General features: G+C 42.4%; 1 protein-coding gene across 38 annotated transcripts in view, besides 1 other annotated feature; it reads right to left on the bottom strand.

The window, feature by feature from the left end:
- The window catches only part of ARID1B (AT-rich interaction domain 1B), a 434,754-nt gene that overhangs the window by 71,836 nt on the left and 350,370 nt on the right, over positions 1–12,548 (bottom strand). For 27 of the 38 annotated variants that reach the window (NM_001371656.1, XM_011535984.3, XM_017011105.3 and 24 more), the window contains one exon: positions 5,737–5,916. The exons of 9 other annotated variants lie outside the window; for them this stretch is intronic. In NM_001371656.1, the coding sequence (NP_001358585.1) occupies positions 5,737–5,916 (180 nt within the window). Of the gene's footprint in view, positions 1–5,736; positions 5,917–12,548 lie in introns of those variants that run through there. 2 more of the 38 variants (XM_011535988.4, XM_047419156.1) reach the window with 1 other exon arrangement.
- Positions 5,063–5,263: a silencer, noted in NCBI's record as "peak6253 fragment used in MPRA reporter construct". NCBI's record gives its function as "represses an SCP1 promoter by STARR-seq MPRAs in K562 erythroleukemia cells {active_cell/tissue: K562}" and the evidence as "EXISTENCE:reporter gene assay evidence [ECO:0000049][PMID:32103011]".

Here is a 12,548-nt window from a genome sequence, read left to right as displayed (position 1 = left end):
TGATTACGTTCACCTATCCTTTGCTATGAAATAATCCAATTCAATTTTTGTTTTTTCTAATATTAGCAAAACAGATTTAGTATATTTCCTTAGTAAAACATAACAGTATAGAAGAAGGAATTAATCCTTTTGCTTTGCACTGTCGATTTAACCAAAAAACAAGGTTAAGATAAGAAGAAGCTGTGGCCTTATCAAGTGCATCAACCTGTTTGAAGAAAACAATAAAATGAGCACACTGAAGGGCGAGTGACCTGCACAGAATCTAGTCTTTGGAACGTCAGAGAAGAGGATCTTGTCAATCTGCATCACCATCCAGGGGAAGTCTTTTGACTGCACAGAATGAATCTATGTGGCAGACAGACCCCACATCTGCAGAAGAGCAGCTGCATTTAAGCCAATTCAATAATAAGACCAAGGTTCTCTCATGCCTGTAATCCTAGCACTTTGGGAGGCCGAGGTGGGTGGATCATGTGAGCCCAGGAGTTTGAAACTAGCTTGGGCAACATGCTGAAACCTTGTCTCTACAAAAAATACAAAAAAAATTAGCCCGGCGTGGGGTGCATGTCTGTGGTCCCAGCTACTAGAGAGGCTGAGGTGGGAGAATCCCTTTAGCCCAAGAGCTCGAGGTTGCAGTGAGTCAAGGTTGCATCACTGCACTCCAGCCTGGGTGACAGAGTGAGACTCTGTCTCAACAACCAACTAACCAACCAACCAACCAACCAACCAACCAACCAACCAACCAAAGATGGAGGTTCTGAACTTAGAAGAGTAGAGACTGAAATCCTGGGTCTCAGTGACTGCAGGGCCTACAAGGTACCCACAAGTAGCCAGGGGCCCCACAACTCTTGACATCTAGACCTTGCCCCTCTAGAACCACAATTTAAGAGTATTGCTGTGTAATTCAGTAGTTTGGAACTGTATTCATTTCAACTGAATATCATTTAAAGTTTGCCTTTGTTGAACTTATGAGACACATATAATGAATGAAGGGAAAAGGAAAATTTCTAGATGGCATCTAATTTATTTTAGTGAAAAAAAAAATCTTTAAACCCTTCTGAAAAACACCTTTACCAAAGTAATTTAGAAATAATTTACACCTACTTGTAAGTCCTCTGCTTTCTAAGACACACACAATAAAAATCAGGCATAAACCCAGGTGTCAGCACGACCCATATGGCTGTGTGTGGTGGCCCTTCCCAGACTCCCATAGGCTATTACAGAGTGAGTGAGGCCTGGGAGCAATCTAGACTCAGAACTACTGTTACTTGCCCAAGGTAACTCTACTTACTCACAGCAAAACTAAGGCCCGAGTGTTTATATTTTGTAACTAATAACAACATGCAAAAAGTATTTCTGGATAGTCAGTGTGATAGACATTCCTCTAGAGAACACAAAAAACAAACAAGATAGTTTTGTCCTTAAGAAATAAAAAGGCTATGGACATGAAATTGATTTTAGCTCTCTTTTTCCCATACAAACTCACTTATTAATAATTAACATGTTAATTACATAATCCTTTCTACTTATTAAAGCAAGTCCCCACAGTCCTCTTTCCTTGCAAACACTTTGCAAGGGTAGTTATTATTACATGTGCTTGCTTGAAGGTGGCAAAGTGCTATTTCATAAAATATACTGTAATTAAGTATTTTTACACATTTATATTGGCTTCATTTATTTAAAAATTCAGATTTTATAGTACTAATATACATTTCTAACATTCCCCCTTCTTCACATCATAGAAATTTTATTTTATTTTATTTTTTGCGACAGGGTCTCACTTTGCCACCCAGGCTGTAGAGCAGTGGTGTGATCAGAGCTCACTGCAGCCTCAACCTCCTGGGCTCAAGTGATCCTCTGATGTCAGCCTCCCGCGTGGCTGGGACTACATGTGTGTGCCATCACAACTGGCTAATTTTTTTATATCTTTTTGTAGAGATGGGGTTCTACCATGTTGCCCAGGCTGGTCTCAAACTCCTGGGCTCAAGCGATCGGCCTGCCTCAGCCTCTCAAAGTGCTGAGATTATGGGCATGAGCAACATTCTTAATCTCTTTAGTATTTTTGTTGTTGTTGTTGTTTTTTTAAAGACAGGGTCTCACTCTGTCACCCAGGCTGGAGTACAGTGGCATGATCTCGGCTCACTGCAGCCTCCACGTCCCGGGTTCAAGCGATTCTTGTGCCTCAGCCTCCCAAGTAGCTGGGACCACAGGCGTGTGCCACCGCACCCGGCTAAGTTTTGTACTTTTAGTAGAGGCAGTGTTTCACCATGTTGCCCAGGCTGGTCTCGAACTCCTGACCTCAAGTGATCCACCCGTCTCGGACTCCCAAAGTGCTGGGATTACAGGCTTGAGCCACCATGCCCAACCAGTAATTTTTTATATATATGTTTCCATGCCTGTTTCTTGCTCCTTAAAGGCAAGTTATTTGTCATTTTGGTTTTATATCCCTAGTGGCTTACTGAATGAATGAACCGGTGAGAAGGCAGTGCAGCTCAGGTGTGGGAAGCAACACCGCCAATGACCACGCGAGAGGCCCCTCGTAAGTCAGTTTCTGCTGGTGGGAACCCTGGCCCAGCCACTTACTGTAACAGCTGTGGGATCATGGCCGAATTATTAAATTTCTCAAGGCTTTGGTGTTCTCATTTACAAAATAGAGACAGCCTCAGAGGGCTTCCCGTTAATTAAGAGAATGGGTGAATCAGCCTGGGTTTGGATCCTGGCTTGACCATTGTAGTCACTGTGCATCCAGGCAAAACTATTCACCTGTTCTGTGCCTCAGTTTCTTCCTCTGTAAAGTGGAGTAATAACAGCAACTTCTGTGACGATTAAATGAGTTAATATATAAAAAACACTTAGAAAATAGGACCCAGGACATAGTAACATGTTCAATAAATGCTGGTTGTTATTACTAACAATTTTGGAAAAGCTTCTCATATAAAATATGAGTAAAACGGCTGTGAAATATTTGAAACTTCTTTAAAAAAGCAAAACCAGAAGCAAGCCATGAAGTTAAGAACAAAAACAGAAAAAGGAGACTGATGACATCTTGGGTGGCTGCATGAGTGAATCATTCCAGAGATATGAACACTTCTAATGCAAAGAAGGAAGCTGAATATGTCACTAATAATCTGAGTAGTTAATCAAGAGGAGAAAGAAAAAAAACCCTTTATTAGGATCCCTTTCTAAAAGGATAACAAAGACAGAAAAAGTGAAGAGTATTTATTGAACTCAACAACACATTGCAAATGTGATCTCCTGTTGCTGAGTGTTTGCTGAGGACAGGAGGCTCCAAGGCGGAAAAGGTGATGATTTTGATTTGGACATTGAGAGTACCAGGACCCTCACAGCACACAGCGCTCCGAGCTGATGCAGGAACCCAGGAGCACATATGCCTTGGAGGGGAACAAGGTGGCAGTGTCACTCAGGAGAGGAGAAAAGGGTGCATGGTGCTGGGAGGGGTGCCCAACTTTCAGGCACCAGAGAGTGCTGAGTGTGGGAATATTCATTCTCATTTCAGATCGTTTCTACTATTAACCTACACTCAAGGTTCATGCCTTAAAACACTCAAACAAAAAGCTGAACTGTGATGCAGGAACCCAGTGGGCTACCGTAACAGTAAAGGTCCTGGAACTGAAGCAAGGCTTTATTCGTAGAACATTAGAAGTGGAAGCAAATGCCAACATAATATAATCTCATTTTCTCATTTTCTAGACAAAAAGAACTTCAGAAAGAGTAAGCAGTTTTCCAAGGAGACACAGCAGTTTGGATAAGAACTCTCCTGGGCTTAGTGCTCTTAAATTAAGAGTCTTCACATTCAATGATACTGAAAAACAGGGATTTAGTAAAAAAAAAAAAAAATCCATTCTATAGTAATTTCCTTCCCTGCTATTAATTCCTATAGCAAAAGTTCTTCCTTAGTTGTTCACAAAAGACTTACTAGATAGCCCAAGGCTCAGTCTTCACATATGATGAGTAGAAAAAGAGGCTACAAGATTGAATTACTTGAGAGTATGGAGACAAATTTCAGAGTCCAGGAAGGGCTTATGGACTTAAGAGTTAACTCCTAGACCTTCAGCCACACCCAATTCTGAGAACAAGGTCTGCATCTTGCTTCCAATTACATTAGGAGCAAAAGCCCGCATTTTCTGTGCCTACCACAAGTTACAAACCGTTTTTCCAACTGCCACTAAGCTCTCTTCTTTCCATGACAGCTAAAGAAACCTGGCTTTGACGACACCCACCACGTTCAGTAAGGATGGTGGGTGACCCACAGTCCTGCCTCTGCTCTGCAACAAACTGCTACATGTCATAGTTACCGGGCACTGACAGGGAACAAGCAGACCATTACTGTCAACTGGGACTGAAATTCCTAACGCTTACTGGAATTACTAACATGGAAAACTCTTGATGATGTGATATAAAGAGAATTGGGCAAAACACCAAGTCTCACTCTCAGGACAAGCCTAGAACAAAGGCAGGAGAGGCTCTATACAGACGTTTGCTTTCTTGGGTATCCCCATAGTCTTCCTACCAACAGAAATATTTGGAAAGTAAATATAACAAAGCCCTCTAAGGCAAAGAAACAATGCTCCATTGGTAGCACTGAAACTGTTTAAGATCTTTCGGAAAAACATCTTCAGAACACAAGATAATAACTCGCTTTTCAAGCTGTAAAGTACTATACATCAGAAAGATGCGATTTTCTGAGAACCAGCAGGTAAAAAGGTGACTGGGCCTCACCTTCTATTTGCCTGGCCTCTAGGAAATACTAAGGCGCTACACCAGGCAAACCTGGTTTTGTTGTAGAAGTGGTAAACATTTTACTACAGTTTCCCAGTGGCACTCATCATCTTCACCTGGAATGTTCCTGGTATTTTCAGAAGTGAGAGAACTCTGGGAATTGTGCCAGATTATCTCATTCTCTCTAAATTATCCACTCATGTCTAATTTAAATAAACAAAATATAAGGAAGGTGGTAAATTCAAATGTCTTATTGCTAAAAGTGACTTAGAAAAAACATATATATATGTATACCTACACACATCAGGTTAAAAACCTTGATAAAAGGATGCTGTGTGTATCTGACAAAACCTACATCCACTTCCAGGAAGGAGGAAGGCCAATGGTGCATGCTGGACATGATTCCACTAGTTCTCTGCTCCTCCCTTATCTTCTCTTGTGAAAGACATGTAACCATTTCAGGCTTTGTCCTGTCTCCGAAGAGTCACACTGGGGTTGACTGGGAAAGTGAGAACTACTGCTGACCTGATGCGGCACCTCGGAGAGAAACTGGGAGGGATGTGCGGGGCAATGCCGTCCTGAGCCGTCAGCTCAGGGTTTTGACGGTGATCACTAAGAGGGATGGGCCAAACCAGAATCCAACCCAACAAAGCCCAAGTTTGACATCAGAAACCTGAGAACGTGGCTTGTGTCTTTTTCTCTACGTTTAGAACCACGTCACAGAAGATAGGGGTCCCCTACTTCACTAGTAACACAAGGATGATGAGCACCTACCCAAGTGTCTGATACATAAATGTTTCACCAATAGTGGCTGTAATTATTCCTCCCATCATTATGGGCAGCTAAAGTACTGTGGGCTTGTATGAACCTCACAAACCTGTCAGGTAACAGATAATGGATCTTACGATATGTTTACAATATTAAAATCTTGAAGGACTAGCACATTAAGAAAATTTCTACAACTTGCTGCCATGCATTTTGGAGAAGCTTTGGTTTTACCTTGTGGTCCATACTGGCTCATCTGTGGACCGTAAGTCCCACTTGAGTTACTCTGCTGAAAGCTACTGATTCCAGCATGCATCTGGCCCCCAGGAGAAGGATGAGGCGACATGGATGGTCCTGTCTGTTGAGGTCCATACTGAGCCATCTGAGGGTTTCTTTGTGTGCCTGCCATAAAACCTAAGTGGGAAATAAATGGAAACATATAAATGCAGGTGTTTCATAATCTCTGCATACATAAAAATGGACATGGACTGATGTGGCAGGTGGCAGGGGAGAAGGCTGGTACCATAAGATTCTCCTAAAAAATAGCTAAAGACATCTCAGTTCAGCGTGGACGGTCTGGAGGGTGCCCTGGTGAAACCCTGGTCCTAACCCTGAATTCCCAAGAGGATTCCCAGGAAGCCAATGGCTTGTGGACTTCAATTAGGGAGGGGAGAAGGAGGAGAAAAGGCAAATGACCTTAACCTCTCTTGCAGATAAAATCCCTACAAAAAGCAACAGTGACCGACTGCTGTACTGCAAACCCTCTGCCCCTGAAAGGCTGGCCATGCCGTGCGTGCCTGCTCCAAGCCTTTGCTCCCTGCCCAATCTGTGGGATGCAGCTCTCTGGTCAAAGATCCCACTCGTCAGACCCAGGGTACCAGCTCTTCCCTGCACAGAGCTGTTTTTCTCCCCTCTGGTGTCCTCAAGCAGTAACCATTAAACTTGGCTCCTAAAGAGCCTGCAGACTTCTGAATACCTGACTCGGCACTACCCCTTACAGGTCAACTGCCAACAACTGCAGGCTTGCGCTGTATTCTGCTGCGCCCCAGCAGAACCTCTGACTTTCTCCTTCAAACCTGTTGGGTCTTGAGACTTATCTACCTCTGTAACTGGTACTGCCACTCCTCCAAATGCTCCCTCAGACACATGGGACGCCCACAAGGCCACCCTTTCCTTCTTTCCTCTAAGTGTGATCCATCCATCAGCACATCCTGGTGACTCCGCTCCGACATAGATCGTGCATGGTACTTCTTCCTTATTTCTACTTCTACCAAAGCCAGCCCCAGTTGTGTCTTCTCCTGCCCACACCACAGCTGTACCACCGACCACTCAGCCTTGCTAACCCCAGTCTTGCTCCTTTTGGTTCATTTTCCTCAAAGGTGCCAGAATAACTTTCAGGAATATAAAAGGAAATGAGAGCATATCTCTCCCCTGCATAAAACTCATCAAGGCTGGCTGGGCGTGGAGGCTCATGCCTGTAATCCCAGCTCTCTGGGAGGTCGAGGTGGGTGGATCACGAGGACAGGAGTTCAAGACCAGCCTGGCCAAGATGGTGAAACCCTGTCTCTACTAAAAATACAAAAATTAGCCGGGCACGGTGGCAGGTGCCTGTAATCCCAGCTACTCAGGAGGCTGAGGCAGGAGAATCGCTTGAACTCAGAAGGCAGAGGTTGCAGTGAGCTGAGATGGCACCCCTGCACTCCAGCCTGGGCCATACAGTGAGATTCCATCTCAAACAAAACAAAACAAAACAAAACATCATCAAGGCTTCCCACTGGCGCTAGAATAAAATGCACACGTGACCCTGTCTGTGAGACCTCGTGAGCTCTGGCTGCTGCCTTTCTCCCTTCAGCCCCATTTCCTAGAGCTTTCTCCCCCTCCACTGCACTGCAGGTCCCAGAGTTCCTAGAAGACAACATCGTGCTCCTTCCCTCAGCAAAGCCTCTCTCCCCCGTTCCCTCCTCCCGGCTCGCCCACGATCTGCTCTCCACACTGCTGGGTCCTTCTCATCCCTCAGCCCTCCCTCGACACCTGATCAGAGGTCACACCAACCCTTGCCCTTTCCCACTCACCTTCCTTCATAGCACTTTTCATAATCACTGGTAATCACTTTATTTTATTTTGACTCACTTATCATCTCTCTTCCCCACTAAAACATTAGCTCCATGAGGGCAAGAATCACACCTGGGTTCACTATCCTTGGTGCCTAGCAGAGCGTGTGGGACGTGGTGGTTAACAAAACTATTGCTTTTTAAAAAAATGAATGGATGTTAAATTCTTCATGCGGCCAACAGAGTGCTGAGTACGACACATAGGTGCTTGGTGGGTAGATGATTCAAATGGATAAAGAAAACACATCTTTATGCATCACTGGAAGGCCAGGTACCTCCACTCTCAGGAGTCCAGGCAAATGGAAGCGAGTTCATAGATGGAGCTGTGAAATACTCATTAGGACAAAGAGGACCCCAAATCAAGATAGATTTGAGAAAAAGCTGACATTATCCATCTAGCACACTAACAAAGGACAGTTTGAAAAACAACTCTCAGAACACAGGGTTTTATGTTCGGGAGAGGGGCCCACGTTACCAGGTGAAGGCTCTAGCTGGAGACGGGCAGGTTTCTGCTTCAGGAGAACCTAAAGCAGTAGCTTCGAAAGAAAATCCACTGAGGCAGCTGGAGGGTAAGATAATCCCAGATCTAAGTTTGGCTTAAGGAGGTTAAATGGCATATTGTATTTACAAAGGTGGCCACAGTTTACATTTCAATTAAAAAAAGAGATATAGTCTAACATTGCTTCTGTTTAAAGAGATAGACATAAAATAAAAGTAAGTTGAACTATTTCTTATTATCCTATTTAACTTATTTATAAAGATAAGCCTTATGAAATTGGGCTCAATTGGCAGCTTCCAGATATAAACCATCATAGAAAACATTTGCTTATTCAATCTGAAAACAAACAGAAATCAGAGCACTAAAATTACTATGAATGATTGCATCTTAAGATGTTACATGAAATATTTATCTAAGCTTTACTATAAAATTCTCAAGTGTTTCAGATAGAGTCCTGTTTAATAAAAAAATGTGTTTCAATTTCATAGAGATCATGTGGGTCTCCCCTTACTTTCTTTGAAAAGAACGATTGCTTTTTCTTCCTTAGTTAAGGAAAATAACACAGGCCCTTTAATTAGCATTAAATTTCACTCCAACCATGAAGGTGTCCATGCCAAAGGGTTTGGAAGCTCTGATAATATACTATATTCTTTTTTTTTTTTTGAGATGGAGTCTTACTCTGTCACCCAGGCTGGAGTGCAGTGGCACGATCTCATCTCACTACAACCTCCACCTCCCAACCTCAAGTGATTCTCCTGCCTCAGCCTCCTGAGTAGCTAGGATTACAGGTGCATGCCATCATGCCCAGCTGATTTTTGTACTTTTAGTAGAGACGGGGTTTCACCATGTTGGCCAGGCTGGTCTCGAACGCCTGACCTCAAATGATCTGTCTGCCTCAGCCTCCCACAGTGCTGGGATAACAGGTGTAAACCACTGCGCCCAGCAGTATACGATACTCTTAAGTTTTTGTGGCCTCTGTGACACTCATTATAGGCTTAAGGTTTGTTCAAATGAGTGCTAAGAATTCTTACCTAGGCAAGGTATTTCTTTTTCTATTTACTCAGTCCTTAAAAATACATATGTAGTGTTCCACTTGAACTATCTCAATTGTCACTGGCATTTCACATAAAATCACATTTGCAAAAAGGAGATGGAGTTTCCAAAAGGAGGTAGAATTAAAAAGCGAATTCAAATGAGGCTGCTTCACAGTATCAATTTCCCATACCTTAGGGACAAAGTTCAACTGGGTGTGGAATCTACCTCCTTACATAGAAATTACAACTTGAAAGCTATTTTTTTCTTTGTATTATTTACTTTTGCAATGGCACCACTTAAAAGAGCTTCCTGAAATCTTGTTTTCTATTTTTGGTGAGACTCACCCCTTTCCCTGTTCCCCAAGACCATGAAAGAGGAAGCTGACACATTTCCCTGACTCCTTTCTAAGCCAGCATCATCTAACGGCAGTGGACTGGGAATGGAAGGCGTAGATTGTGGTCTTGTTTGCGTCATGAGCTCTGAATCTAGTAGGGGAGACAGATATGTAAATAAATGGACTGCAGTGGGTATTGAATACAGCTTGCTGTGTGACTTTAAGCAAATCATAACCTTTCTGAGCCACAGTCCCGGATCCTGTGAGGATCAACTGAGATAATATGTCAAAGTGTCCTATAATCTGTGATGTGATATACAAAAAAAGTTAAGACATTATAATGTTAATGTTTGGTTTATAAACTCCCAAAAATATCTTTTCACTTGGATAGCCTATAAATTCAGATGAAGCTTCCAGCTGGGATGAACAAGTTTTTATTTCTACATGTTTTTAATTTAAATGTCTGGAATCCACATTACTCCAGCACTTGGGTAACTGTGTACAGATTATAAAGGGTTAAAAAGGGTGTATTATGGGAAGTACCTCTCACATCCCTGTCTTCTGCCAGAGTTCCCCTGGCCAAAGGCAAATGGTTTTTCAATGTATTCTTTCAGAGATATTTTATAATTTGTGATTGTGTTTTTATTTTGGTTATCAAGAGTAAATGTGAACATGTTAAACAGCTGTCTTTACTTCCTTTTCTATAAATGTCTGTTTATATCGTTTGCCTCTTTTTCTATTGGTCACGCTCTCTCTCTTGAATATGAAGTATTTCATCTGGCAGGTACAGCTCCTGTTAACAGATGAATTGCTGCATGGCTCACCCAAACCTCTGTATCTGCAGTCCTGTGAAAAGCTGGTCTTTCAGTTGGTGTAATAATGGCATAGACCATATACTGCCGTAAGAGGAAGTGTTATGACCTGACTTGCATTTGTTTTCTTTTTGAGACAGGGTATCTCTATGTTGTCTAGGCTGGTCTCGAACTCCTGGCTTCAAGTGATTTTCCTACCTCAGCCTCCCAATTAGCTGGGACTACAGGTGTGGGCCACCATGCCTGTTGCATTTTTGAAAGCTAACCCTACTGTAATAAGCATCATGAAGAAAGGATTGAAGAGGAAGAGAAAGGTTACACGTGAGAAGACCAGTTAGGAGGTAGGTACATGACACATAATAGAAAATCACAATTAAATGCCAACACTAGCTAATCCTACTAAAAAAGTAATCCATTATGGATATTTTTAAAGGTTATTGAATATTGCCATAATCTCCTAAACAAATTGATAAAAAATTAGAAGACAGAAGTTAGCTAAAAATGAAGTATTTCTATTCATCCTAAATACAGAAACGATGCATGTCTATTAGCAGTTTCCTCATCTGTAAAATGGGGGCAATCATATCTACCTCATAGGGTTGTAGTGAGGATTAACGGAGATAAACATGCATAAAAGGGCTGGCTCACAGGAAGCTTTCAACAAGCAGTAGCTTTTTTTTTTTTTTTTTGAGATGAAGTCTTGCTCTGTCGCCTAGGCTGGAGTGCAGTGGAGCACTCTTGGCTCACTGCAACCTCTGCCTCCCAGGTTCAAGTGATTCTTCTGCCTCAGCCTCCTGAATAGCTGGGACTACAGGTGTGCACCACCATGCCTGGCTAATTTTTGTTTTTTTTTTTTTTTTTTTTTTTGAGACAGAGTCTCACTCTGTCACCCAGGCTGGAGTGTAGTGGCACAGTGGCGCGATCTTGGCTCACTGCAACTTCCACCTCCTGAGTTCAAGCGATTCTCCTGCCTCAGCCTCCTGAGTAGCTGGGATTACAGGCGCCTGCCACCATGCCCGGCTAATTTTTTTTTTTGTATTTTTAGTAGAGACCGGGTTTCACCATATTAGCCAGGATGGTCTCGATCTCCTGACCTTGTGATCCGCCCACCTCGGCCTCCCAAAGTGCTGGGATTACAGGCGTAATTTTTGTATTTCTAATAGAGACGGGATTTCACCATATTGGCCAGGCTGGTCTCAAACTCCTGATCTTGTGATCCGCCTGCCTCAGCCTCCCAAAATGCTGGGATTACAGGTGTGAGGCACCATGCCCGGCCAGTTCTTGTCACTATTATAGATTCAAACAAGGGTACAGGACAGGTAGCATGGTAACCAAGAGAGCACTGGGCGAGGATCTCATCCTGGCCTCCACGTCTGCTGTGCAGATTCTAGCCAGTGACTTCACCTTTTTGGCCTCAGTTTCCTCACCTGCGCTCAATAGTTGTAGGGGCACTTCCAGCTATAGGTGTCTATGATTCTGGTTTAAACGTTTTTCTTTCCTAGGAAGAAATCTAAATCAAGTCTGCAATTTCCAAGTATATTTATTTCGAAGGTAGTTCTTTTCTTGTTTTGTTATATTTTTATTTTTGAAAGAAATACATTTTAAAATGTTTCCCAAGAAATCAGATTTCAACTAAGACTTTTCTTCCTATTTATGGTGACATATTTGTTTGATTGCATCTTGCTTTTTTCAGAACATTCTTCTAAGATGGTGTCTTGTAACAGAGTTTGCGAATAGCAAGCCTGACAGCTGAGGGAACGCAGCTGCGTCTTTAAAAGGTGTGACCTTTTCTAGTCATAAGCCATCTGAGTTTAGAGTACCACGCTTTCTGAATTTAGGGAAATTCAGAAAATATAAAATGAATTTCCTATATATTGTGAAAGTATATTGAATTACTAAATGTATTATGGAATTATAGGGTCCCAAGTAAATATCTAACATGGGAAAATTCAAACTTTAGACAAAGCACTAAATTAGATATTATCTACATGATACAAAACAAAGTTTCCTCGAAACCTCATATGAAAATATGATTAATATATTCATCCGTAACATAAATCTGCACCAGGGTTCTGATCAGGGAATTTCCTAGTTTTGAGTCCTGCGCTGTATGCTCATACAGTCACCGAACTTGTACTACCACATTCCAAATGCAGAGATACCCTTCTGATGTTAAAACCAGACTACCCTTTCTGCCCTTTAGGGGAAAAAAAAATCAAGCAAAAGAAAAATCCTTAGAGAGAAGTTAAGGTAGT

The sequence above is a fragment of the Homo sapiens genome, chromosome 6 (genome assembly GCF_000001405.40).
Source record: "Homo sapiens chromosome 6, GRCh38.p14 Primary Assembly".
NCBI lineage: Eukaryota > Metazoa > Chordata > Mammalia > Primates > Hominidae > Homo > Homo sapiens.
This window is presented reverse-complemented; position numbering and strand designations above follow the sequence as displayed.